At 49.3% G+C, this 26,512-nt stretch overlaps 1 long non-coding RNA gene and 1 other non-coding gene across 2 annotated transcripts in view, besides 4 other annotated features; both read left to right on the forward strand.

Moving 5' to 3' along the window:
- Positions 1–26,512, forward strand: part of NCAL1 (NK cell activity associated lncRNA 1) — a 282,375-nt gene that overhangs the window by 165,717 nt on the left and 90,146 nt on the right. The window lies entirely within an intron of this gene.
- Positions 8,295–9,026: an enhancer, noted in NCBI's record as "OCT4-NANOG-H3K27ac-H3K4me1 hESC enhancer chr2:87929009-87929740 (GRCh37/hg19 assembly coordinates)". NCBI's record gives its function as "activates a minimal SCP1, AML or CMV promoter by ChIP-STARR-seq in naive H9 embryonic stem cells {active_cell/tissue: H9 hESC(naive)}" and the evidence as "EXISTENCE:reporter gene assay evidence [ECO:0000049][PMID:30033119]".
- MIR4435-1 (microRNA 4435-1) lies at positions 8,560–8,639 on the forward strand. The gene has a single exon (NR_039634.1). It is a non-coding gene; the product is annotated as a microRNA 4435-1 (primary transcript).
- Positions 9,027–9,757: an enhancer, noted in NCBI's record as "OCT4-NANOG-H3K27ac-H3K4me1 hESC enhancer chr2:87929741-87930471 (GRCh37/hg19 assembly coordinates)". NCBI's record gives its function as "activates a minimal SCP1, AML or CMV promoter by ChIP-STARR-seq in naive and primed H9 embryonic stem cells {active_cell/tissue: H9 hESC(naive and primed)}" and the evidence as "EXISTENCE:reporter gene assay evidence [ECO:0000049][PMID:30033119]".
- Positions 12,019–12,769: an enhancer, noted in NCBI's record as "NANOG-H3K27ac-H3K4me1 hESC enhancer chr2:87932733-87933483 (GRCh37/hg19 assembly coordinates)". NCBI's record gives its function as "activates a minimal SCP1, AML or CMV promoter by ChIP-STARR-seq in primed H9 embryonic stem cells {active_cell/tissue: H9 hESC(primed)}" and the evidence as "EXISTENCE:reporter gene assay evidence [ECO:0000049][PMID:30033119]".
- Positions 18,492–19,038: an enhancer, noted in NCBI's record as "H3K4me1 hESC enhancer chr2:87939206-87939752 (GRCh37/hg19 assembly coordinates)". NCBI's record gives its function as "activates a minimal SCP1, AML or CMV promoter by ChIP-STARR-seq in primed H9 embryonic stem cells {active_cell/tissue: H9 hESC(primed)}" and the evidence as "EXISTENCE:reporter gene assay evidence [ECO:0000049][PMID:30033119]".

A 26,512-nucleotide genomic window follows, 5' to 3' on the forward strand; every position in this document is an offset into this window, starting at 1 on the left:
CAGGCTGCTCTGGTCCAGTTCTGGCTTCATTTTCTCAACATATCAGATGCAAGAGAGGCCTGGCCTGCTAGCTCCTGTCTCCCTGCTCTGCTGCATTCCCTCCCCACGCGGTGCAGGTACTGACTCGTTCTCAAAACTGTCAGATGGGCTGCCACCTACCTGGGAGTTTCATGACATGTCCTGGGATCCTACTACGCCAGAGGCTCAATGCCTGGCAGAGTGAACACTTAGTAAGCTGCAGTTGCCCTGAAATATTTTCCTGTTGCTGATTCATTTCCTCATCTGTGGATACCATATTCCAAACTTGCTGTGCCACCCTCTGAAGGGGCAAGTTCTTTCCTAGGAGTAGATACCAAGAGAGAGGAAGCCCATGTCATGGGGACAACCACACAGGCCAAACACAGGTGTCACTGCCTGCAGGGACAGCCTGCAGGCATCAGGCCTCCCAGGAGATAGCAGGCAGGACAGGACCATTTCAGACTCATTTCAGCAGTGTGTGGACAGAACCCCACTGAGAAATGCAAGCATGAGACCTGGAGTCTATTCCTGTCTTGTCCTGGGGTTCCTTCCACTGGATGCTCATCAGGGGAAATCCTCCCTCTGGATGCTGATGTGGGGAAAATGGCCAACTAGTTTTAACCTTAAACTCATCCAAAACTTATTTTCTCTCCACTTGAGATAGTTGTCAGGAGATCTGAGTTCTCACCTTCCTTCTGCTCTTCCCTTGTATGTGACCTTAGGCAAGTTGCTTAATCCCTCTGAGACTCAGTTTCCTCTCTTGTAGCTGCAGGATGATGGCTGGGCTCTATTCTAGATCAGTGAGACTCAAACCTGCCCTGTGGCATCAGTCAGGAACAGTTTTGCCGAGTAGGCTCCAGTCCAGACCAATACATCACGATCTGTGGGAGTGAGGCCCAGGCGATTCCCAAGCACTGGAAGGGTTGGAAATTCAGGCATATGGTTTCTGCCTTAAATTCCATCTATGAAAGCCGAAGCGCTCTCTTTACCACCACCACCTCTCCTTCCCACCCTTGTCTTGTTTGCTGCTGATTTCTCGCCTGACTCAAGAACAAATGTGTTTAAGCCCCAAGCCCCTAAAAATGGGAAGCTGTCTATTTCCCTTCTGTACCAGCTCCCACATGTGTCTGGACACAGACTCTGCCAGGGAAGTCCCCTCCCATAGGGACCGTGTGCCTCCAGAGTTGTGTGGACAGGACTTGAAGACATCCAAAGCCCCCACAAGAGATGATGACAACAAAACTCTGTGTTAAAGAGTTTCCAAGATGGAGAACTCCTGCCTGTCAATTATCCTTCTCAGACACTGATTTTGTTTGTTTGTTTTCTGGCTAGAGACGATTATTCCACACAGGAATGACAGACAGTCCCTCTGTTCTTTGTCTGCTGGTCCTGGGGGCCTCTTGCGTCAGTGGGAATGGAAAGTATCAACTTTCTTATTTCTCCATGTTCCCTCTTGCCTTGCATCTTTCTTCCTGCTTTCATTTCTAATTTCTTGGGCCCTTTGACTTTCTCTTCATCTCCCTCTTCATTCTTCACACAATAATGTTTATTTAATTTTGGATGTTCTCTTCTGGCCAAAAGTTGACTTGGTCCAGACCAAATGGAAATATATGTGATTAAATCTGTTCTCTGCGGAGAGGGACTAAAACAAAGATCAATGCCAGATATTGTCGTGATGATGAAATGTCAGGGCAGAGGGCACCAGGAAGGACAGACCAGGCTCACAGAAGCGTGCCATTCTTTCACAGCACATGCAGCACACAATATGCAGAGGCATGACATTCCAACCTTCTCCAACCCACCGTTTATCAGTGTGTCCCCTGGACTGGTAGTATCAGCATCACCTGAGACTTATTAGAAACACAAATTCTCAGGCTCCATCCCAGACCAACTGAATCAGAAACACTGGGGGTGGGGTCCAGAAATCTGTTTTCACAAGCCCCAGAAGACTCTGATGCATGTGGAAGTTTGAGCACCACTGCTTCTAGTGCGTAGACGTTTTGCTTGCTATCATTGAAAACTCGCTTGACCTCTTTGGAGAGGGGCATGGCGGCCCCCAGATATCTGAGGAAGGCTGAGCAGGAGGATAAGGTGAGCTGAGGAAAAGGGAGGGAGCAATGGGGTATTCACGGCAGGGGAGCCTGAGATGGTCCCTTAAGGATTTGCATTGGTTAATGGGCAGACTGGTGCAAAAGAGGCTGAATTGAATAATTAGGAAACTGGGAGAATTCAATTCAAAGAAGAATTCTTGTTCGCAAGGTCAATTTTTATACTATTTAAGTAAAATAACTCTGGTAGGTTCTATAGCAAATGCTAAGTAAAGTAACCGCTGGTTTCTAAATTATTACGATAATCTGAGAAAATTATTTCTTTGAAAAAATTATAGAACTTTCAAATATGCAAAAAACTCTAGAGAGTAATATAACAAATGCACTTAATAGGGACAACCTTTAACATTCAGCAGAGAACATTTTACTCTATTGGCTTCAGATCTTGTTTTGACTGCAGCTTGATTCCCACAGTCCTCTCTCATCCCCACCCATCGTGGGTCCTCAGCCTCATCTCACCACCCTGAGTTGGGTATAGAATTTCCTGTCCAGGTGTTTAGAATTCTATACATTTATCTAAAAGCAATATAGGGTATCGTGTGTTGGGTTTTATATGCTGATGTAAAAGGAGTTGTTCTGCAATTTGCTTTCTTCTCTCCATGTTATTGAGCTCTATCCTGTTGCTACCTGTGGACGTAACTCGTTCTCATTGCTGGGTGGTATCTATCTTATGGTCCCTTTCTCATCATCATGAGCATTTAAGTGAAGATCGTCTTCAGGATTTCCATGTGCTCATGTGGGAGAGTAAGTCCTGAAAGTGGAACATCACCTGTAAATATATTAAAGACAGGGTTTTCCAATTTAACTGGGAAAGTCTCCAGACTCAGCTGGAGCTACATTATCTGTTTCTCTAAGAAAGAACTTTTCTGTCCATAAACTCATTGTATTAGTCCATTCTTGCACCGCTATAAAGAAATACCTGAGACTGGGTCATTTACAAAGAAAAGAGGTTTACTTGGCTCACGGTTCTGCAGGCTGTACAGCGAGCGTAGTGGATTCTGCTTCTGGGGAGGCCTCAGAAAGCTTCCAATCATGGCAGAAAGCAAGGGGGAACAGGTGTCTTACATAGCAGGAGCAGGAGCAAGAGAGAGTGAGAGGGGAGATGCTTCACACTTTTAAAGACCAGATCTTGAGAGAACTCAGTACCACGATAACAACACCAAGAGGGTAGTGCTAAACTATTCATGAGAAATCCACCCCCATGATCCAACCACCTCCCACCAGGCCCCACCTCCAACACTAGGGACTACGGTTTGACAAGAGATTTGGTGGGGACGCAAATCCAAACCCTATCACTCATTTTTTTCTCCCTTCAATCATTCAACCAACAATTGCTGAGCAACTCCTGTAGGTCAGGCACTGTGCTGGGGGCTGGGAACCAGTGGGAATAAATCCTATGGGTCTCTGCCCTTGTGGAGATTCCAGAGTAGGGCTGCCCGGATGTTCTTGCATTGTGCACAGTGCAGAGACAGGAGGCTCCCGGATATTCTGGCCTAGGCAACTCTAACCCTGAAAAATGAACAAGCCCATCACATTCTATTCATGTGGTTATAGTTTACCTGAAACCTCAACTGCTCCACAGAATCAGATCTCTCCGCAGCTCCCAAAAGTGTCCCAAGGGTTAGCACTGACCAGCTTGCTGGGTTTGAAGGAACCACAATGCATCGGGTGTGGCTCTCTTCCTGCTAGCTGCTCCGAAGTGAGCTCCTACTGATTCTATTCAGTTGGACGCTCACATTCAGCGAGTCCAGGGGGTTTTTCATGCTTTGAGCATTTTTAAGAGTCTGCTATTTGCCCAGTTCAGTGAGGGGCACTCAGGATGTATCAGTGGTTCAGGCTGACTTGGTTCCTGCCTAGGGGAAGACCCACAAGACCAGTACCCAATGCAGGGATGGCATGGATGGTAGGGGAGGCTTGGAGGCCCTAACCCACTCTTGAAGGGATGACAGAAGCCTCCCAGGCTGGGATTGGAAGGATGAAAGGAGCAGACAGGCCAGGGTAGAGGGCATTGAGTCCCAGTTTGAGCGAAGGGCTGGAGCAAGAGAGAGCCTGGTCTCTGCAAAGATCTGAAAGAACCTCAGAGCAGGGGCCAAAGGGTAAGGGTGTCAGGGCAGAGGCTGTGCCAAAAGAGGTGAGCCTCATCCTAAACTCTGTTCTTGATTTGGGGTGGAAGTGTCCCTGGAAAGGCAGATCAACAAAGGAAGGAGCATGAGCCAATTCTCACCACACCTCTTGTGCTTCAAGTCCTCTCTTGGGTTGGGTGATGTCATACAGGGACCCACACTTGATTGGACTGCCCTCCCCACCTTTTAAACCTCTCCTGTCACTGAGGGGGTACACCACTGGAGCCTGGCAAAGGTAGCCAGTACTCAGGGGGTGTGCACAAACCTCACACCCATGTTTATAAGGCCATTACAAATGCTGGCCCAGTTGGTGACCAGACACCAATCCTTGTCCTTCCACGTAGCCAACAGTGGGCTAGTTGGCAGGTGCATGGCAGGCGCTCAGGGCTATAGACAATGCAGGCTTTAATCCCATGAGTGGAGTCGGTGCCAAGTCTAGAATTCAAGGATGACTCTTCACCCAACTGACCCTCTTACCCAACAAACCAATGAGAACAGCTTGAGGTCTGGAGGACCCGTGCTTGATATCTGTCCACTCTTGTATTTGAGTAAGGTAGTGGAGGTCACAGGCTCACATCATAAACTTTGTACTTTATTTGAAACACTTTTCTGGCTCTGTTAGTGGCTCCAACACCATACTTAAGCTTACTTCAAAATGACTTATACATCTCTATTTTCCTTAAAGTATGCGCACAGATAAGAAAAGATGGGGTGAATTTTTTTTTTTTTTGAGAAGGGGTCTTGCTCTGTCACCCAGGCTAGAGTGCAGTGGTGCGATCTCAGTTCACTGCAACTTCCGCCTCCCGGGTTCAAGCAATTCTCCCACCTCAGCCTCCGAAGTAGCCAGGATTACAGGGGCGTGCCACCACACCTGGCTATTTTTTGCATTTTTAGTAGAGATGGGGTTTCACTGTGTTGGCCAGGCTGGTCCTGAACTCCTGACCTCAGGTGATCCACCTGCCTCAGCCTCCCAAAGTGCTGGGATTACAGGCGTGAGCCACGGCGCCCGGCCAAGATGGGGTAATTTTGATGTCCAGACACAAGTTGTCATTTAAGATGAAGCTTCGATTGTAACTCTATGAAGCCCTGCTGAATATTAAAAGCTTATAGAAAGCAGCTTTTCTCCCCCAGGCAAAAAGAGCCCTTCGATCTGTGGTGGGACTTTGCAAAAAGCTGAGCTGCCACTCAAAGAAATAATTCCCCGCTAACTGCAAGTTTCTGTCTTGTTTATGGAGGGCCTGTTGAGAAGGCCCTCCAAACCTTTGGTTCCAGGGTCTGGCAAGGGGAATCTGTCATCATTCATTGCAAACTACACCTCCACCCACTGGGCTGAAGACCTGTGCAAGGATAGACCAAGAACTTCCTCTGGGGTGGCTGTGCTCATGGATGCTGATTTGACAATTTCCAACCTCCCTCATTACCAAGATCCCCTTCCTTCACCTGTGAAACCAAAATTCCATCTTCTTCTCTTCCCTCCTTTGTGACAGAGTGGGGAAAGATGGGGACTGAGGGAAAGGAGAGTAGAAACTCAGTCCCTTGAGAGATGGGAGCTGATGGGAAGGAGGTAGAAACTTGGTCCTTTAGCCAGGAGGCTCTGCAGGCATTCAGGCCTGATCTACCATGTAAGGTGATTTCTTTCTTTTTGGAAAGCTCCCATTTCATGGGGTGGACAGGTCCAAGGACTGCTCTGGACCACTTGGTGATCACATGGGCCGAAGTAGGGGTAGAGGACCCCAAATTGAATGTGTGGAGGGGACTCTGAAGCAGGTGTGAATGCCAGGAGAGGTGGGAGGAAGGACAAGGGTGGTGCATCAAGACCACAGAAGCCGGCCCGGCCAGCCTTCCCACAAAGTTACTTGAACTGAGCTCTCCATAAGTACACATGCGCACACACCCAAGAATAAACTGGACAAATGGCAGCAGAAAGAGAAAGAACAGAAAAGAGAGCTGATGAATACATCCATAATCAGCACTAACACAGCCCTGGAAAGAAAAGCAAAAAGAAAAGGCAAGCGCTGTGGTGTGCAGCTCTTATTGTCTAATAAAAGAAAATATACCAATTCTTTGGGGAATTTAATTTTTTCTGGAAATAAATTCTTGGAAGAATTTATGTGACAGAACACCCCAGGGGAACATCCTTGCGTTGGGAAGGAGGCCACCTCGTCTGGCGGCCTCGGGCATTCCAGTGATGCAGGGGAGGGGCCCAGGCAGCTGTGCTGGTCCAAGGGGCTCCAGGTAGAATGAGCTGTATCCTTGGCCAGAGGATGTTGCGCATCCTCTGGGGGGATATGACGGGAGAATGATGGGGGGAGTTGGGGAGATGTCCCCAGGTATTACAAGTGGAGGCTGGGGACTACCACTGTCAGTTCATTGTCAACTATGTCCGCCTCATAGACAGGGCACAAGCCTATCCTTAGGGACACACGTGAAGAGGGGAGGCAGGAAGATTCAGGCGCGCTCTCCGGCCTAGACTGGCTGAAGGAGGGAGATTTTAATGCTTGGCATAGGTGGTGAGGGGTCCACCAAAGGTAGGAACACATCCCTGGGGCTCTGGGAGGAAGAAGCGTCAGGACTGCAGCTCCAGCCTCTTCAGGCCCAGGGTCCTAGGGCGGAACAAGGCTGGAAAACTGGTGCATGGAGGAAAGAAAAAAAATGGGAAGGGAGAATGGACAGGTAGGAAGGAAGGAAAGGAGGAAAGGGAAACGGAGGAAGAAAGACATGGAAAGCTGGGAGGACAGAGGGCAAGGCAGAAGGTAAAGGAGGCAAGGCCAAGGCTGTGAGGAGGAATTCCGCTTTTATTCTGCTGTCTGGCTTCATGCCATTGCATGGGGCCCTGTAAAATAAAAAATGATACCTCCCAGGGCTATTGGTTTTTATCTTAGAGGACTCTGTGGGGAGATGTGGAAAGCTGTTCAAGTGGCAAGCCTTGGGAGCTGAGTTTCATGACGATGGCCGTCTAGGGCTGTTCAAAGTTAAGATGACAGATTGGCAGAGTGCAGGGAGGTGAGAGAGTATTGGGGAAGTTTTCCATACAGGGGACCATGTAGTGTTTTGCTGGGAAGATAGACCTGGGTGGAGGTGAGACTGGTGGGTGCCACAGATGATTCTAACTCCTGCTCCTTCTCTTGTCCTTCCAACAAACCAACCACACATGTAACATAGTCATAAGAGCTTGCAGGGAGGAGAAAAGAGAGATATCAACAGACCAAGGGAGACAGAGGGTGGAGGGCCATGCTGTGGACAGTGAGGGGAGGAGGTCCTTCCTCTCCGCCACTGCCCTCAAGGCTGCTTGAGGCTCCCACGCTGAGGTGTCCACCTGGCTGAGAGGCTGCTGCTTATCTGTTCCCCAACTTCTCCACCTGCTGGTGCAGCTCTCCCTTGCTGTGCTAGGAGAGAACCCACTGGGAGGGTCTTGGCATCTCCAAGTGGGGCCCTCCTGCTGAGACACTGGGTGGCTGTGGAGGGAGCTCAGCCCTCATTCCTCCCCGAGCTCATATCTACAGAGCAGCAAGTCTCCCCACTCCACCAGAGGAGAGCACAGGAGAGCTAGGCAGCTGCCTCCACCAAGACTTCACCCAACCACGGTCCTTCACTCCCACCAGGACAGGACAACCCAGCCTCCCGGGTCCCAGGAGGACTTGGCATGGCTGAGGACACCCAAGAGGAACCACCAGCCTATCCCTGAAAAAGCAAAGACACTTTGGGGAACAGAAGAACGTCTTAAAAGATATCAACTTTGACTCAGAGATTTCAAGAAGACGCTCTATCCGAAAACCAAAGAAGAAGTGTCAAAGCTGTTGTAAATGTTTAAAAGAATAGCCACCTTGATTGCATTTTGAGTGAATTGTGAATTCCCTCTCCCTGGGTCTTCCTCATTCTTCTACATCCTCCCCATTTCTGTACTGAATTTATAGCAGACTGAATTTGGAAGTTGATTTGAATGTTTAAATATATGAGACACTCTTTGTTACTTTGGAATGAGTAAGGCATTAATTCTTTTACGTTTTGATTTTTAAAGGTTTTATAGAAAATTGCATGTTTCATCAGGAAAAAAGTTATCTAGTTCTACTCAAAATAACATCTTATGGAAACTTTCAGAGTTTCACCAGACAAAATGCCCCAGGCTTTGGCTTTGCAGCTGGTGTCTACAGCTGAGCCTAGTCCTTGAAGTAATCATGACTCAGCTTATTCAAAATAAACTCTTCAAGAATTGCAAACTCTCCTCTCAGCGCATGCCCTGTGACCTCCATGTCCCTCCATTACATCTCCTCAGAGTAAGGCCCAATGCCACTGACTCATGGGGGAACCACAGGCAGCAAATGGCCAGAGCTCACACAGAGGGATGAGTGCACTTCACCTGCAGTGTGACTCAGCAGGCCAACAGATGCTATCAGGGAAGAGCACTAAAAACCAAAGGGTGGCTGGCTGCGTCTCAGCATCTGTCCGCGAGAAACACGATGCCATGGTTATTTTGTGATTTTGGTGGTAGGCTGCTGGTCAGGTGTCTCCAAGCAAGTTGGTCAAAATGGGAACAGTTGTTTCTCTGGGCGGGCAGGGGTCAAGGCTGGTCTGGAAAAGGCCGAGGCAGCTGCACCCTCTTGAGCCACTGGCCAGCACCTGTGCCCTGTCTGGGGCTTTCCTCTGCCCACAGGAGACCCTTCTCCATGCAGGTGCTGCGTGGCACCAGGCATGAGTCTGAAGTTCCTTCTGCCACAAGCACCCTCGTTATTTGTGATTGTGCAAAAAAGGAAGTCTCTGCCAAGAAACTAACTGAATGTTAGTGCCTGTTCTCAGGACTTTCCATAACCCTGCTCTACTAGGATTCCTTTCACCCTCTTTGAAAGCAGCCAAAGGGTTAAGTCATCCCAGGTGCATCTCAAAGCAGGGCTGCGAGCAGCAGGAGTTTGAGCTTTGTTGCAATTAGAAGTTGAGTGTGAGAAAGGACATTCAGGCACAGCTTATCTTTGAATACACATGCAGGAGTATCAGGAGCAGTTAGAGATAAACAGCTGGCTAATAAACACATGAAAAGATGCTCAGCATCATTGGTCATTAGGGACAGGCAAATCAAAACCACAATGAGACTCTACTTGACTCCCATTAGGATGGCGACAACACAAACAAACAAACAAAAAAGAAGGTAATCAGTGTGGATGAGGATGTGGAAAAGTTGGAAACTTCAGACATTGCCGTTGAGAATGGAAAATGATACAGCTGTTTTGGAAAACAGTTTAATGTTTCCTTAAAAAGTTGAATAGAGAATTAGCATATGACCCAGCAATTCCATTTTTATGTTTGTACCCCAAAGAATTGAAAGCAAGGACTCCAATAGAGACTAGTATACCAATATTTATTGCAGCATTATTCACAATAGCTTAAAAAAAGTGTAAACAACCCAAGTTTCTGTTGGCAGATAAACAAAATGTGGTATGTACACACAATGGAATACTATTCAGCCATAAAAAGGAATCAAGTTCTTATATATGCTACAACGTGGATGAACCTTGAAAACATGCTAAGTGAAATAAGCCAGGTACAAAAGGACGAATATTGTATAAAAACACGTATATAAGGTACCTAGATTAGTCAAACTGATTGAGACAGAAACTAGAATCGAGGTTGCCAGGGGCTGGGGAGAGGGGAGAATGGGGAGTTATTGGTTAACAGGTACGGAGTTTCAGTTTGAGGTGATGAAAAATGTTTTGGAAACAGTGGTGCTGGTTGTACAACATTGTGAATGTACTTAATGCCACTGCATTGTATACTTAAAATAACTGGGTTAGGGGCATTTATGGATTTTCCTCTCATTGTAGGTCACTAAGAACATGGTGGGAGGAGGAGCCACTGCCTTTATAGGCCCCGACTGCCCCAGAGCTTCATTCCTCACCAGGATGAATGACAGGATTCTGGACTAGAGGGCTCTTGCCTGAGCCACCAGGGCATCCGGGGGATCCCTGTGAGCAGGGTGAGGGTGAGCACCCAGGTTCCACAGGGCTCTGTCCTGGGCAGGCCAGCAGATGCAGTGATTGCAAATCCTCCTTGTACAAATGGAACAGGCACGTGCATTTGTGGCACACTCAGAGCTGCTGGCCACTAGTGTGCTTTGGAGAATCAGTTGTCTCCCAGGCAGGGAAGGTCCCTCAGACATAAAATACTCACCCATTTAGAGGAATGACAACAGCAAACGAAACTATATTCTGCTAATTTACTGGTAAGAGAGGAAAAACTCTGTCATGCATACACAGACAGAGGCTCTGCCAAAAGAGAGAGGCAGCAGATACAGATATTAGCAAATGACTCCTCTCCAGAAGAAACACACCAGCCAGGAACGGCACTCACACCTGTAATCCCAGCACTTTCGGAGGCCAGGCGGTAGGATGGCTTCAGACCAGGAGTTTGAGACTAGCCTGGGCAACATGGCAGACTCCGTCTCTACAAAAAATGAAAAAAACAAACAAACAAACAAAAGATCAGTGTGGTGACACACACCTGTAGTCCCAGATATTCCAGAGGCTAGGCAGGAGGATCTCTTGAGCCCAGGAGATGGAGGCTGCAGTGAGCTATGATCCTACCACTACACTCCAGCCGGGGCAACAAAGCAAGACCCCATCTCTTTTTTAAAAAAAGAAAGAGAAAACGAAAAGAAAAAAAACACACACGATTTCACCTGCTTGAAGGCCTGTGCTTCTCTTTGTTGTCCCCATGACACTATACCCAGGCCACTGTCAGGGACCCTGGGGGGCTTACAGTGGCTTACTGAAGGCTAGACAGTATCCCCTTGCAGTATCAGTTAGGATTCTATCATCATGAGAAAGAGGCTCCAGCTCGCTCAACGGAGCAAACTGGAAGGTAATGAGGGGCTCAGGGAATTTGTCCTGGGAAGGCAGGAAGCACAACCCTGTCTTATGGCAGAGGCCATCAGTCCAGGGTCCCAGCTGGACCTGCTGATCCTCTGTCCCTGTCTCACTCATTGCAGATGCCACCTCTTCGGTGAGGGCCTGTGAGCTAGGGTTAGGTCACCTACCCTACCCTGTGTGACCACAGGCAGGGAGAGACAGGATTTCACTTCCTAGACTTCCACGGTGGAGGCCAGGCACCTAAGATTATTCTCCCACCCACACCAAACACAGTGGGGGAAAACTCATCCCCAAAAGGAAACTGGGGCCAATAGGCAGGGGTGGATGTGGGGCAGCCCAAAAACCAACACACAGCCACCGACCCCATCAGCCATGATTTATATCCATGCCTTTCCTGGACAAAAAACCAAATCCCACTGCCCTGGGCATCAGCGGGCAGGGCCCACACAGGCTTCATAGATGTCTCCTCTCCGGGAAGTGGAGGGTGTGTTTGTGCATTCGGAGTAGCTGGTGCCTGGTAGAAAATCAGTGCGGTTTTGGCTTTGGCAGAGCAGCCCAGGCTCCCTTTGCATTCCCACAAATCGAGGCAGCTCTGCTGTGCTACTATCACAGTTTTGGCGGCTTTGACCGCAGGTCCTCCTGAGGCCGGGAGACTGCTGGGGCGTGGTATATCAGTTGTTGGGGGCCGTGCTTCCCCAGGGCAGATGCATGCAGGGGCTCTGGGGCAGAGTGACCGTGGAAGTTCGATGATGTCACCCCTTCTCATGCAGCTGATCGTTGGGTCAGGAAACGACTCTCCTGGCATGAACCTGTTCCTGGTCTCAGCAACCCGCACATTGTGCTGGTGCCAGGTCAAAGGCAGGGCAGGAAGCCAAGGGATGGGGCAGGCCCAGGGGGCAGAGAAGGGCAGGTGGGTGGGATGTCGGGGGCAGGTGAGGGTAGAGCATGTGTATTTACCCAGGCAAGGGTCCGGCCAGGCTCGCAATCAGAAGAGAGAGAGAAGACCCTGACTCCAAGCCAAACCCTTCACCGAGGGAAATGCACCAACACTCAGAGGGTTCTTGTTTAGTAGGTGAGCAAGCAGCCAAGCATTGGCCTTCCCCAGGGCAGGGGCATAAGGCCGGTGAGCAGCTGAGCCAGGATTTGAACAGCAGTCACCCTTGGTGAGGCAGAAGCAGATGAGGATATGAATGGGGATGGCTAAGGAAAGGTGGGCTTGCTTGCACTGGGGAGAGGCCTTACTGGGGATTCAGAATTGAGGGCTGGGGTTTGCTTCCCCGGAGGGTAATGGTTTCAGCTGCCTGAGTTTTTATCTCACCCCTTCTTACCTCCTCCTGCAATGACTGACCAACTTCCACTTCAAAGAGATCTTTGATTATGACTCCATGACATCAGTAAGCTTTCAAGTCAGTGAATTTACCTTCTAATGGTGATTGGAACTCAAAGCCAGTTCACAGCTTGACCTGCATACATCAAGCAGCTGGGTGACTGTCAGATGTGTCATCTCATGTGGGAGGAGAATTTGTTAAAGTAGGGAGAGAGGACCTCAGGAAGAGGCCTCTTGAAAGTCTGTGGGTGCCTGAGGCTGGAGGCCACACCTGGCCTCTGGCCTTCAGGACAATCCTCAAAAAGGGATTAGGATTAGCCCACCTGGTTCTCAGTTGGCTGATTGGTTAAAAACGTGAACACCAAATATTAATTTGCTTTTGTTTTTATCAAGCGATTCTATTTGGGGTGGGATGGGGGAGAACGAGAAACATTTTAAAAGTTAGAGTAAAAACCCAGCGCTACATTGCCAATTTCAAGATGAAGTAATAAAGAACTACCTGGGAGGGAGAATCATTTCTAATGAAGTTAACTTTGCAAACTGAGCATTATGCATTTTTCACTCTTGGTGGTTAATATTGGGAAAGTGTCTGGTGGTCCTTGGGGTTTAGGGTGCTGTCTAAAACCTAGAGCTGCCTGGTTGTGGCCAGTTTTTGTTTTTAACCACGAATTAAGCTTGGATCATTCAGAACAGACTGACTTACTCATCAGGGATGCAAACTCCACACGCCCAAAGCAGTCTCGAGTCTTCAGTCCTGGGTCTCGGCTTCTTTCTGTGTTTCGCAGGCACTCACACCCCCGTGGGCTTGGTTCTCCAAACAAGCCCTTATGGAAACCAGGCCAGATGTAGGGATTAAAGTTCCCGAATTTCAGCAAAGTTAAATAATAATAGTAGACACAAAACAACCAACCAACACCAAAAGACATAGGTGCAAACTATGCTAATCCCAGCAGTGGAGAGGAACAGGCCTTTGATGATGATGGCCCTGATGGATGGAGGACGATGGAATGCTCTAAACACGAGGCCTCAGGGGACAGCCCCGGTCCTCCTTGTCAGAGCCTGCTCTAGTTTGGGATCCAGCAGGAACCTCAGGAGCCTCCTTCACTTTGGTGGAGAGGACTGAGACTCAGAGCCCCCAAGCGCACCTTGGGACGGTCCCCACGCTTCCCTAGGGTGGGTCTGGGGCAGGCCTGGGGCATTTCTATACTGCTGTTTGGGAGAGCGCCCCAGACCTAGTGTCCTGGCTGGGGCAGATGAAGCCAGGGCGCTCTGGCTGGTAGAGGCAGGAGGGGAGGCCAGCCAGGCCCCGCTTGACCCCGCATTGACAGGAAGGAGAACGGACACTTTCTTTCAAGGTGCTCAAATGTCCCACATCACTTCTGTGAAAACCCAAACACAGAAGCCACCCCTCTCAGCTGCTACAGGCCAGAAATGAAAATTACTGCAATCCCCAGGAGCCTGGGAAGACCTCTGCTGACATTCCCTATGACCACTGTGACGGTGCCCCCTTCGGCTGCCTCCCCCCTCCGTATGGAGAGCGTTCCAGCCCCAGGCTCCCAGCGCCTGCTCCCAGTGCCTGCTCCCCGGCCTCCATCACTCCACGCCCCAGGGACCTAAAGTAGAAAGCTTAGTTTTCTCCTTGTTTGAGTGCAGTTGGGATAATTTTTAATACATTCCTTTTTGCTCTTCATCAACTTCAAATGTCTCAAGATGTCCTGAGGGCAAAAGAGCTGATTTAGCTCTCAGATTAAAAGAGAGTGGCCTAACGCCTCACTCATTTTGAAATACTGACATTAACGGGGAAAATTACTCAAGCTCTCCTGTTACTTCCTGTGCTTAATTAAGTGGCTCTGCAGGTGACTCACTCCCTTATTTTTCAGAATGACATCAGACTTATTTTCCATTTTAATAGCCTGGTTACTTCATTGATTTTTTAAAAAATCCAATTTCACTTTCTAGTGCAATTTCTTTATCTGATTTTTTTTCTCCACACTAGGAAATGCTAACTCTCGTAGTGGTAAAACTTCGACTTACGAATGCCTCAATTTTTTTTTGAGTCTAGGGCCCCAAATCAGAATTTAAAGAAGAAATTAGAGGTGTAATCTTTATTTGCTAATTACCTAAATAATTTCACGAAGTGTTGGAGTTGTTAATATTATTAACTATTCCTGAGAAGGGGCCCCCGGGGCCACCAAATGAATACTTTGTCTTGGAGGCAGGTCTGTGTCCCTGCAAGAAGCCACATCTGGCTCTCGGCACCCTCCACACCCACAGAAATGCCTCCACTTTTGTCACTTTCTCCATCAATTTGAGAAGGATGATTCCAAATTCAGAAGCTTGTTTTGAGCTCATTCAATATGCATCAGGTGGCGGTAACATCTGGAGGTCAGTTTTTCTTGCAGTTTGGTAAATTCTGTTGTCTAAAGAGAGATGTGAGAATTGCTCATCTTCATATACCACACTTGGCACTCGTAGGTTTGTGAAGCAGCAGATGCAAATGTTTCACGTGGTGCTTGGCATTTATTTATTGTTTATTTGTTTATATTTTGTTTTTGGTTTGTTTGTTGGGTGTCTGGGCTGGCCAGGTGAACTTCATTTTCTGCCCTCACTGAGAGGTTTTCCTCCATTCAGCTCTGACTCTGTTTCCCCATAGGAGCCACACCGGTGAGGGCAGGGAGAGGGTGCTGGTTCTGAGCCAACTTTGCATGGAAGGCCCAGCAGACCACGCTCATTACTTACAGCCAGCATCATCGGGGAACTCCGGCACAGACCTGTAGTCAGTGCCCCACAGCGCCCCAGCCTTCTCTCCCGACAGGAGTGGCCAGGACAGGGAGCAGAAGGTGACTGCTGTGCTGCCTGGAGCTCTTCTGTCCGGAGGCTTAGTGAAACTAGAGAAACTCAGTGGACACACTACAAGACTTCAGAGATACTTTTTGTAAACCCAGGAAGAATCAAAGATATGAAACATGCAGTAGGCACTCACTAAATGTTAATTTTCTTCCTTTTTAAATATATGCATTATGATAGTTAAATTAATGACTGCACGACTGGAAGAATACACACTCTAATGATTCTTTTCCCTAAAATAAATGTGTCCACTATTTGCTGTCTACCTTCTTGAACATCCTGCTTCCTCTAAATAACTAAGGAGATTGATTCTACACTAACATCCAGTTGAAGCAAAGTTGCGTCATGATAAAATCTGGCATGGGCTATCCCTTCAAAAAGTTCTTTCTGAACCATCATGACCATAAATTGCACTAGGCAGGAGGTGGTGCTGGAGGGACAAAGAAATGCCAGCCAGTCCCTGCACTGGAGTTGCCAGCAATCACACGGGAAGGCCTCTAGTCTAGAGAGACGGGTAGGAGAGAGACGGGAGCACATCAGAGGAGCGCAGATGCTAGTGCACGGGTTAAATAGTCTCTTACACATCTGGTTAAGATCACCTCAAATTGCTGTGGGGTTCCATAGCTCTCTACAGCCCAATTCCAAGCTTCTGCTCTCACTGGATTAGTTCCACGGATACATGGTCCTCTGCATTAGCTGGGTTCTCTATCTTGGGTGACATCAAACCTAGAGATGAACTCTAGCCCCTCACTGATACCTCACAACTCAGTCTCAGAAGACATTTTTGCATGGAACAGACTTTAATGAATGGTGGGTGAGGGGGTGCCTGCTATTGAATGAATAAGTATGGGGGGAATTAGTCACAGGACTTCATACTGAGCATTAGAGTCCGGCGTCTTTGTTCTTGGAAGTCTTCAGCTCCCGCCCGGTCCCTGAGGATCTTCCCCCGACTGCTTGATCTTGCATCATTGCCCTCCCTCCCCGAGGGAGCAACACAGAGCGGCCCTAGTCCACTCTCATGATGCCTCCATTAATCCCCCGGTCAGGGACCTTCCAGCCCTGCCCACAGCAGTCGATGCCTTCAGTGCATCTCAGTCTTCCACCCCCAAAAGCCGTGGGGGGTCTCTGTGCGGGATCACCCCTCTCCTAATACCCCTGGTCCCAGGAGATGGGGAGGATGGAGACAAGGCCGGTGTGGGAATGAGGTGGCAGGCTTCTCAGGACATGAGCTGCCTTGCTCTGCCCCCTTGGGCCTCATGGACCCCATTCTCCCTGCTGGAGTTGATGTTCTGGCAGACTGGGCTGCCCCTTGGCCCAGTTCCTGGAATACCAAGTAATTAGGTCATCATCGGGGCAGCGGAGGCCAGCCTCTGATATTCTGCGGCATGTTACTTGCTCTTGGGGCCTCTGTTTATTGGGGCTACATTGCCCTTTCTTTGCACAGCTGGCTTTGTGCTTGCTACTAATTTTTTTTTAAACTGAAGAATCCATTGTTTAGAGATCACACATAAATGGTAAATTATAAAGAAAAACAAGTGGATGACCGACATAAAAATCAGGAGGTTTGCTAGCCCTGGTGAGGGAGGGAGGAAGACACCATGTGAGAGAAACACAGGACCGTTTTGTAAGATGCTGCTTTTTTGTTTTGTTGTTTTGTTTTGTTTTGTTTAGCATTGGGTGTGGATACTCAAATGTTCATCTTATGATTATTCTTTAAATCGTTCAGGTACATTTTGTACAGTCTTCTGTATGTGTGATGCATTTTATAATATGAGTGGTATATTTCACAATCAAAAACACTTTTAAGAAGCTCTTTTGCCTTGGCTAACTCTCGTTTGCCGTTTCCCCAGGGCCAGCCAGCCCGGCGGAGCATGGGGAGGACCTGAATCTGCCCCGGCACTGTCCTACCCTCCACAACATGCTCAAGTCACATCCTGTCCTGCTTTCCATTGCCTCTGGTCACTGTCACTTGCCAACATTCTGAACATCCCACTGCCTTCAACCCTCCCCACTTGTTCGGCACAATATGGAAAGTGAAAAAAAAAATGAGTTGCAGAGAGCCTTGCTTCCGGGTTTGGAATCCAGCTCCATCTTGAGTCTGTTTAGAGAGGTATGAGTGCTTTCTGACGTAGGGCACTTATCACTTTAGCACACAGGGGGCTGTGTGATGGCCCAGTAAGAGCCTGAGCTTTGGAGTTACAGAGCCTGGGCCTTCTCAACTCCATCCCTCATGGGTGGTATAGATGGTTCTTCCCTCCCTGCTTTCCCTGACTAGGATTAACTTCCCCCTGAGCCCAGGACACTTGTTACTCTTGTGCCCTAACCTTCACGTCATCTTTCCACCATCTTCCATCTGCAGCTTTCTCAGGTCATCCGCTCCATGGAGGTCCCCGTTCCTACCTTGGCCTTGCCTTTCCCCCTGCATGTAACCTTGGTGAACTTTTCACAAGAGTCTGCGCAGTCTTCTTGTAAGCAGATTAATGCCGAGGAAAAGCCTTGGTGAATGCACACCCCACCTACCACCTCCAACCTTGCACAGCTGGCCGGGGCAGTCGGTGCCAAGGATGCCTCATGGCCCTTCGGACTCTGAACCTGCTATGGGTCCCACTGGCCAGACACGTGCTTTCCTTTTGGAAGTGCTTGTCTCAAACATAGACGCATTGAACCAAACCATTGTGTGTGGGCTATTGGAAGGGGTGCACAGATTCATTTGTTGGTTGCAGCAAATGCTTGGTTTGGCAAATGCTTGAGGGCCTTGTGGCTGGAATAGCTCCACTGCATGTCTGCAGATCTGTCACGAGGATCCCAGCTCAGGTGGGAGAGGATAGGGGCTATTGGTCAGACTTTCTCAGGCCACCCTATTCCCTTCCTCCATGCAAGGCAGCGCGGTATGAATGCTTTAGATGGGCCTGGGTGCAAATCACTGTGTGATCTTGGGGAAGTTGCTCAGCCTGTCTGAGCCTCAGTTTCTTGAAGCATCAAATGAGGATGATAATCTCTGTTTCTCAGGGTCAGCAAGGGACTTAAGTGAGAAAATTGAGGTAACCCATGGGCAGAGCACAGGGCACTTTGTGAGCACTCAGTAGGTGCAGGCTCCTTTCTCCTCCCCTCTGCCTTTCTCTCCCCACTTACTCCTGTCAAGTAACTTCACCTCTCAGAAAGCAGCAAAAATTGTCCAGTGTCTCCCTCATTCCCAAGACCCCCACTGGCCCCTCACCCAGTGGCCTCTCAGGGCACTCCCCCGTCCTCAGAAGTCCTATCCCAGCGGAGATGGAATCCACATAGCTGGCCCTTTCCTCCACACGACCCTGCCAGCTCAACCCTTCCCCGTATGATTACGATTTGTTTCTGGTTGTTTACCATGAGAAGCTCACTGAAGCAACGAAGGCTTCCTAGGTGCCTCTAAAGAAGCAAGGTAAATTTTAGAACCTTGGTTTAAAAAAATGCTGCGCTGTGCAGAGAAGCCCGTGGAGAGAGCCCCGCTGGTGAGGAAGCACGGGGACCCTGCTGCAGGGCTGGTGGAGGGCTCCTTCTGCAGACTTCTGAGCTTGGAGCACAGATGGGCAGCACACAGGTGAAATGTGATCCTCTGTGGGGCTGTGTTTTCTGCCCCAGGAAGAAAGAAGAGTCAACAACTTAATTATTTCGTCATGGTTTTGTACAAAGCTTGAGAGGAGGAAAAAGGTTCCCTTTTTTGAATAATAGACAGGAGTTACAGCCTGAAGGGAGCCTGCTCAGGGCGGGCAGGGCTGCTGCTGTACCATTGGCATCAGAGACGTGCTGCTGTCCCGAAGGCTCCGCCCTCCTCTGACTGGCTGCTGGCCCTGGCTCCTGCACTACTATGGCCTTTTGGCTCAGGTGCATCCTTCCTGGAGGCTGGAACTCATCCCCCGCCCCCGGCATCACCTCCATAGCCAGGGGGCCACCCAGGAAACGCAAGCCAACATCTGGGGAGGCCAGCCATCTCCAGGCAAGTTGGAGACCAAGAGAATTGTGTGAATTTAGACTCTTGGTAGATGCTGCCTGACCCTGGGCTGCCTGGAGCACTGCATCCCTGTTGCCTGGCACACAGTAGGGTTATTGTCTCTGAGTAGCTGGGTGAATGTAGGTCAGAGCTGGGAGGCGCTGTGGGCTTTCATAGTCAAGGTCACATGGCTCATTAGGGACAGTGCTCGAAACATTTCAGTAGGGACTCACCATTCAGTCAACAAATTTTGGTTGAGCATGTATTATGTGCCCGCCACTGCATTAGGAGCTAAGAGTACAGTCAGGAACAAAAGAGCATTCAGTGTACTCCAGACAGATGTTAAACAAATACATAGAAGCCAAATTATGTACAGTGCTAAGAGGAATGGCATCCAGGCCAGGGCAGGGTTCTCCCAGGTGGTGGCATTTCAGGATGAGTGACATTGACCACGTGGAGAAGTGAGAAGAGGGTCTCAGGTGAGGGAGCAGCTTGTGCAAAGGCCCTGGGGAGGCCCACACTGCAGGAGCTGGGGAAAGGGAAATGTGGTAAGAGGTGAGGAGGAGAAGGACCTGATGGTGAGGATATCACAGTCTGATTTTTATTTTTTAAAGGACACCTTGGTTCCTGCAAAGGTGGGAGGGGAGGAGAGGGGCATTGGTGAGTCCATAGGTGATGATTGCAGGGGGTGGTGGCTTGTGGTGCCCTGTCACTCACCAGATCAGTGACTGTGGCAAGCAACTGGCCTCCCCAGGCTCAGCTTCCTCCATGTGACTTGGGGACGCATGCTTCACAGCACTGTTGTGGGGCATATATTATTGCAAGGGGCTGGTGCTGGGAGGGAGCCAACACTGCCACTCTTCCCATGCATACCATCCTATGCTTCCAGGGGGAATGATTCACAACCTGGGAAACCTAGACTTTACACACTGGCTTTTCTTCTTGTTTTAAGGTAGAGAGAAATTCTTAATTGTAATGTGGTCAAGTGTGTCAGCCTTTTGTCGCTTGGTTTGTGCTTTTTGAGTCTTCCCCAAGAAGTCCCTCCTTCTCACCATGAGGTCATAAAGGTGTTCTCTCGTGACTGGAAATTTTCACGTTTCCACTTAGGTCCTTGAGCCATCTGGAATTTGTGTCTGATTTGGTGCAATCCAGCTCTCCTACAGCCTGGCTGGGAGACTTGGAGCAAGTCGGGCTCCCTGAGTCCCCAGCTAACAGATGAGAAGATTAATTAGGCCATCTCTGTGGCATCTTCATCACCTACAGTTGCAAACATTCAGTCTTCCTTGCTGCAGCCTGTGACCAGGGTGATAGTCCAGTCAGCGTGATAATAAAATAATCCCGCCGACTTCCATGCTGCAAAAATGCAGCCACGCTGACATAGCATTGGCTGTCCTCCCCAGCTCTCTTCCAGAAACAAAACAAAGCACCTCAAAGCAGGTTTCCCAAGGCCCACTCACGGCCAGAACTTTGCTTTAAATCATTCCCCTTCGACAGTTTAGTTTTAACTATACTGTATGTACCCAAGCCAAGGATGGGAGGAGAAGCCTCAGTAACTAGAATTGTTATTAAAACCATATATCCAACTCCACTGGCTTTTCTGGAAACCTCTACCTAAAGGACGTTTAAGTCGTCTATTAAAATATTTCAGACTTGCCCTGAAGGAGGCACCAAGAAGTGCCACAACTTTGCAGGCTAGTGACCACACAGATGGAAATGTGTCTCTGGAAGCAAGTGGCTGGTGTTAGAAACACACACACACACACACACACATACACACACACACTCCCACAAATAAAAATCTAGTCTTCCGTGTTCACTCGAATTATTGTAATAATCACTGAGGATGTGAGACTCTGTATTTAGTCAGTTCTCTAAGTATGACCCAGCCCAGCCGTAAGAAAACATGGGAGGGATGGGTGAAGACCCCACAGAGGAGGGAGAGCCTGACTGAGGGGAGCCAGCCTTCACAGGGGTCCCGGTGGGGATGCAGGCAAGAAACTCAGCCCAAGCTCATCTAAGGTGGAAGGTATGCGTCTGATCAAGATACAGGGGCAGGGAGGGGTGGTGTCCTACAATTCTCAAGGGCCTGAGAAGGAGGCCAGGAGCAAAGTTGTCTGCCCATCAGGTCCCCAGGTCCTACCAAGGCAGAGACCAGCTGGTCTCTCTGTCCCAGTAGAAAATTCCTCTGGAGAGAGAATCTGATTGGCTTGAGATCTGTGATTAATTTTATGTGTCAACTTAACTGGGCCACAAAGTCCCCAGATATTTGGTTAAACATTATTCTAAATAGGAGGCTGGGTACGGTGGCTCACGCCTGTCATCCCAGGACTTTGGGAGGCCGAGATGGGCAGACCACAAGGTCAAGAGTTTGAGACCAGCCTGGCCAACATGGTGAAACCCTGTCTCTACTAAAAATACAAGAATTAGCTGGGTATGGTGGCGGGTGCCTGTAATCCCAGCTACTAGGGAGGCTGAGGCAGGAGAATTGCTTGAACTCGGGAGGCAGAGATTGCAGTGAGCCGAGATTGTGCCACTGCACTCCAGCCTGGGTGACAGAGCAAGACTCCATCTCAATAATTAATTAATTAATTAATTAATTAATTAATAGGGGTTTTCTGGATGAGATTACCATTTAGATCAATAGACTGGGTCAAGCAGATTGCTACTGTGGTGGGCCTCATCCGATCAGTAGAGTCTTGGGTAGAACAAAAAGGCTGACCTTCTGAGGGCAAGAGGGAACTCCCCCTGCCTGAGTACCTTTGAACAGGGACACTGGTTCTTCCTGGGTTGGGAGCCTGCTGGCCTTGGAACAGGAGCTACACCATTGGGCCTTCTGGGCTCAGGCCTTTGGACTCCAACAAAGGCCTGTGTGAGAAATGATGTCGAGAACTGGTCAGTTCTCCTGGGTCTCCAGCTCGCTGGCTGCAGGTCTTGGAACTTGTCAGCCTCTGTAATCACATGAGCCAATTAATGCACATCCTACTCTTCTCTCGGCTCTGTTTCTCTGGGGGACCCTGACTAATCCAAGGTCCCACAGAACACAGGTGACTCCTCGAGGCTCATCTCTGTGGATGGGAGAGGCAGTTCCCAGACAAGGGAACATCATGAGTGGGGCAGACACCCACAGAGGCCTACAGTGGCCACTTCACTCCAGGAGCCGCACACCTAGCTGCAGGAACCCGAGCCCCAGTGACTAGCGCTCATGGGAAGGGCCTGCATCCCAGATATGTGATGACAGCCCATCCCAAAGGCCAGCTCAGAAAATGCTAGGATTTGCCTTCACCCCCAGTGGGGTCATGTGTATGAGGGGGGCAAGTGGGAAGGGAGACTTTGGACCCCAGGCCCTGCCCATCAGCCACCCCATGGCTGAGGGGTCACCCCCATAAGCTCTTGAATGCCAGCACAAGGCAGTCTGGGGAAACTTGGTGACGTGGACAGAGCCCCTCCTTCAGGGAAGTTTCTAGACTGGGCTGTGTGCTTGGAGCCACTGTGCTGGGCACAGCCTCCCCCAGTTGACCATGGGCTCTCCACCATGTGCTCCTGCCTTAGAATCAGCCTCCTTCTCTGTAAGTGGAGATGGCCCTGGCGGCCCAGGTATGAGAGGCCCCAATCAATGGCACTTCTCCCATCCACCTCTGAGCTAGCGGGGAAATAAGACACAAGAGTGAGGCAGGAAAAGACCAAAGCAGCAACAGCCAGGGCCTCTTCCCAGTCCCCAGGGAGCCCCTCGGCCCCTACCCACTTTCAAGGCCAGCGATATAATAAGTTTGTTTTTGTTTTCCAAATAAAGGTTTATTTCTTTCTGCTTAACTCTTTTTCAAAAAATTTGATTTTATTGTGCTAAGAACACTTACCGTGCAATCTCCCCTCTTAGCTGGTTTCTAGGGGCACAATACAGTCTTGTTAACTCTAGGCAGGTGCCATGCTTCATGGCCGGTCCCCAGGGCTTATTCATCTCACTGCACTGAAACTTGAGGCTCTTTGAGCAGCAGCTCTTCAGTCCCCTCCCCCAGCCCCTGGCAGGACCATGCTCCTGTCTGTTTCTGCGAGTTTCACTATTTTATATACGGCACGTTAGTGGAATCAAACAGTGTTTTGTGTCTGCCTTCTTCACTTAGCATCATGTCCTCCAGATTGATCAATGTTGCAGCATGTGTCAGAGTTTCCTTCCTTTTTTTTGAGGCTGAATAATATTCCATTATTCCATTGCGTGAATACAACACATTTTCTTTATCCATTCATCTGTCGGTGGACATTTAGGTTGCTTCCACTTCTTGGCTATTGTAAATAGGCTTCTAGGAGCATAAGGATGCTGACTGTTTTGGATAAATACCCAGAAATGGGGTTGCTGGATCATATGGTAGTCCTCTTTTTAATTTGTGATACGTTTCATCTCTCACTCTGGCGATGTCTGAGCTTCTCCCTTGATAGAGGTAGAAAGTTCCAGAGAGGCACAGGCAGGCCCGCAGTGAGAAGGCCTGAGCCTCCTTACCAGGGTATTTCTCCCCCACGGGCTGCCTCTCGCTAACTGCACAGCTCAATCACACGTCCCTTCCCAGGGCTGCTGTGTGTCACACGCTCACACCCACACTCGCTCCATCTGTGCTGGGTCGAAGAGTGACCCTGTATCCACATCCATCCAGGACCTCAGAGTGTGACCCTACTTGGAAATAGGGTCTTTGCGGGTGTAACTCATTAAGATGAGGTCATACTCTTCATGTTGGATGGTCATAGTACATCAATGCCTGTTGTTCTTATGAAAGGAGAAAACAGCAGGGCCAGGTAGCTCATACCTGCAACCCCAGCAACTTGGGAGGCTGAGGTGGGAGGCTTGCTTGAGGTCAAGAATGTGAGACCAGCCTGGGAAACATAGCAAGACTCCATCTCTAAAACAATTTTAAAAATTAAAAAATTAGCTGGTGGCACATGCGTATAATCCCAGCTACTGGGGAGGCTGAGGCAGGAGGATTGCTGGAGCCCAGCTGGAGCTGCAGTGAGTCGTGATCACACTGCTGCCCTCTAGCCTGGGCCACAGAGCAAGACCACGTCTCTACAAATAAATAAATAAATAAATGTTTTAAAAAGAGAGCCAGGGTCTCTCTCTTCTCTCTCTCTCTCTCTTTCTCTCTCTCTCTCTCTCTCTCTCTCTCTCTCTCTCACACACACACACACACACACACACACACACACACACACACACACACACACACGAGGGAATGTGGTATGGAGACAGAGGCAGAGATTGGAGTGACTCAGCCCCTCCAAAGAGTGCCAGGAATTGCAGGCAACCACCAGATTCAGGAGGAGGCAAGTAAGGACCCGCCCCTGCAAGTTTCAGTGGGACCATGACCCTGCCCCCACCTCGATCTTGCACTTGGAGCCTCCATAGCTGAGACAGAGTAAATTGCTGTTGTTGTTAGCCACTCAGTTGGTGGGCATTTGTTACTGCAGTCCTGGGAAACAAATGAGCCGTCCACTCACTCATATACAGCCTACTTCTATTTTACTGGTGCTTTCTGCTAACTCCTCTCCTTTCCATCTACATATTTCCTCCTTCCAGATCTCCCTCACCTCCCTCAAGAGGGGCTCTGTGGCCAGGAAACTTTTAATGAGATCTGGAAAAAGTGTTACTTGCACATTAAATCCATTATTTTATGAATATCATGGCTTAAGACAAGCTGAAGTTTAAAAGTGAGTGATTTCAAGTTGATCAGAAGAAAAATATCAAGTAAATGGGGTGCATGGTGACACATGAGTTGCTGAAATTTGGGGAGCACTGGAATGCAAGAAACAGCACTGATTCAGGGTCTGTCTGTAATTCTGGGTCCAAATTCTGCTTTCCCTACTGGCACTGGGACACACAGGCATTGTTGAAGTGCTGGACCCCAGATTTCTCTTCTGTAAAATGGAATCACAGGGTCTAAATTGGAGGCTTTCTCTGAAGGATGAGAATAAAGTTAGAATGAGAATGTTCCTAGCATGGTGCCTGGCATGAGCAGATTCTCAGCAGATGGGCCCTCCTGTAATCCGCTGAGGGCTCTCCTGCAGTGCCAGCAGGGATCCTAGTCATTGTCCCCACCACTCCTGTCTGTCTTCACCCAGAACCTTGTCTGGATCCTGGGAGGAAGCAAACATCTCCTGGTGGGAATGTGAGGCCCTGCCAGGTTGTAGGAGTAACTGGAAAAGGGCAGGTGGCCCTGCCCACTATGTGGGCACCTCATGATAAATGATGGCTCTCATTAGCCCTAACTCCTCAGGCACCTTCCTACCTGGCACCATTATGCTGGGACTACCCTCTCACTCTGGGAGCTTCACGATAAACCCATCTTGGCTTACCCTGGACGCCTGTCAGCTCCTGGCAGGGTGCAGGCCAGAGGGATACCTTTTGCATCATGAGATTGTGCAACTTGGGAGGCTGAGGCGGGAGGCTTGGTTGAGGCCAGGAGTGTTCTGGCAAGTTCACGGAAAGTTCTGGCAAGTAGGCAGGCCAGCCTCTTGCTTAGACAGTGCTAAAAGGATTCTTTTTCACTATCTGCCAGTAAGGAAAGTGGCCATCTTGTTCAGAGGACGGAGTGCAGCATCCACATACCTACCAGCATGAACTTGGTGAGCAGAGGCCACCTGCATCCCAGAGCCACAGGGTCCCTGGAGCTATTGGCTTCTTGCCTGGATACTTCCAGGATTCCCAGTTTCTGGAAGCTCTGGTTGCAGTGTGCCCTGGTTCTGTGGCACCCAGCAGGTCTGCAAGGGCAGCCAGTGGGTGTGAGTCTGGAGAGTGAACATCCCTATGAGAACTGACTCGTGACCCTGAGTTTATCACCAAGGGGCCTCTGCAGAGACAGGTCCTCAAATTAAGAGCCAGGCAAACCTGTAGAGAGAGAGGCTCTGGGGGTAGACTGGGAGGAGTGGAGGATGGTCAACTGTCCCCACGCACTTCACGAGGATTCTCCACCTCCCATGTCCCCTGGCATGGGGAGTGCAAGATAACAAAAAAAAAAAAAAAGAGAAGGCAGTGAGCAGGACCCACTCTTCCTGCAGCTTCTTCACACTCTTCCTACAGCCCCAGCTGGGCCACCTGCACCAGTCTGTCTGCATCTGGGGTTGGGGTAGGTGGGTTCTGGCTGGTTTATGGAGAGCCTGCTCCTCCATGAGGTCCATATCTGTTATTTTTCCGCGGCATCAGCATAAGAGGTTTCTGGTTTTATGTATGTATTTTCTGGCTCTGGCTCCTGGTCTGCATTTGTATGCACAAGAAGGCATAAGAGAGA

This window comes from Homo sapiens, chromosome 2 (genome assembly GCF_000001405.40).
Source record: "Homo sapiens chromosome 2, GRCh38.p14 Primary Assembly".
In the NCBI taxonomy this organism is placed as follows: Eukaryota; Metazoa; Chordata; class Mammalia; order Primates; family Hominidae; genus Homo; species Homo sapiens.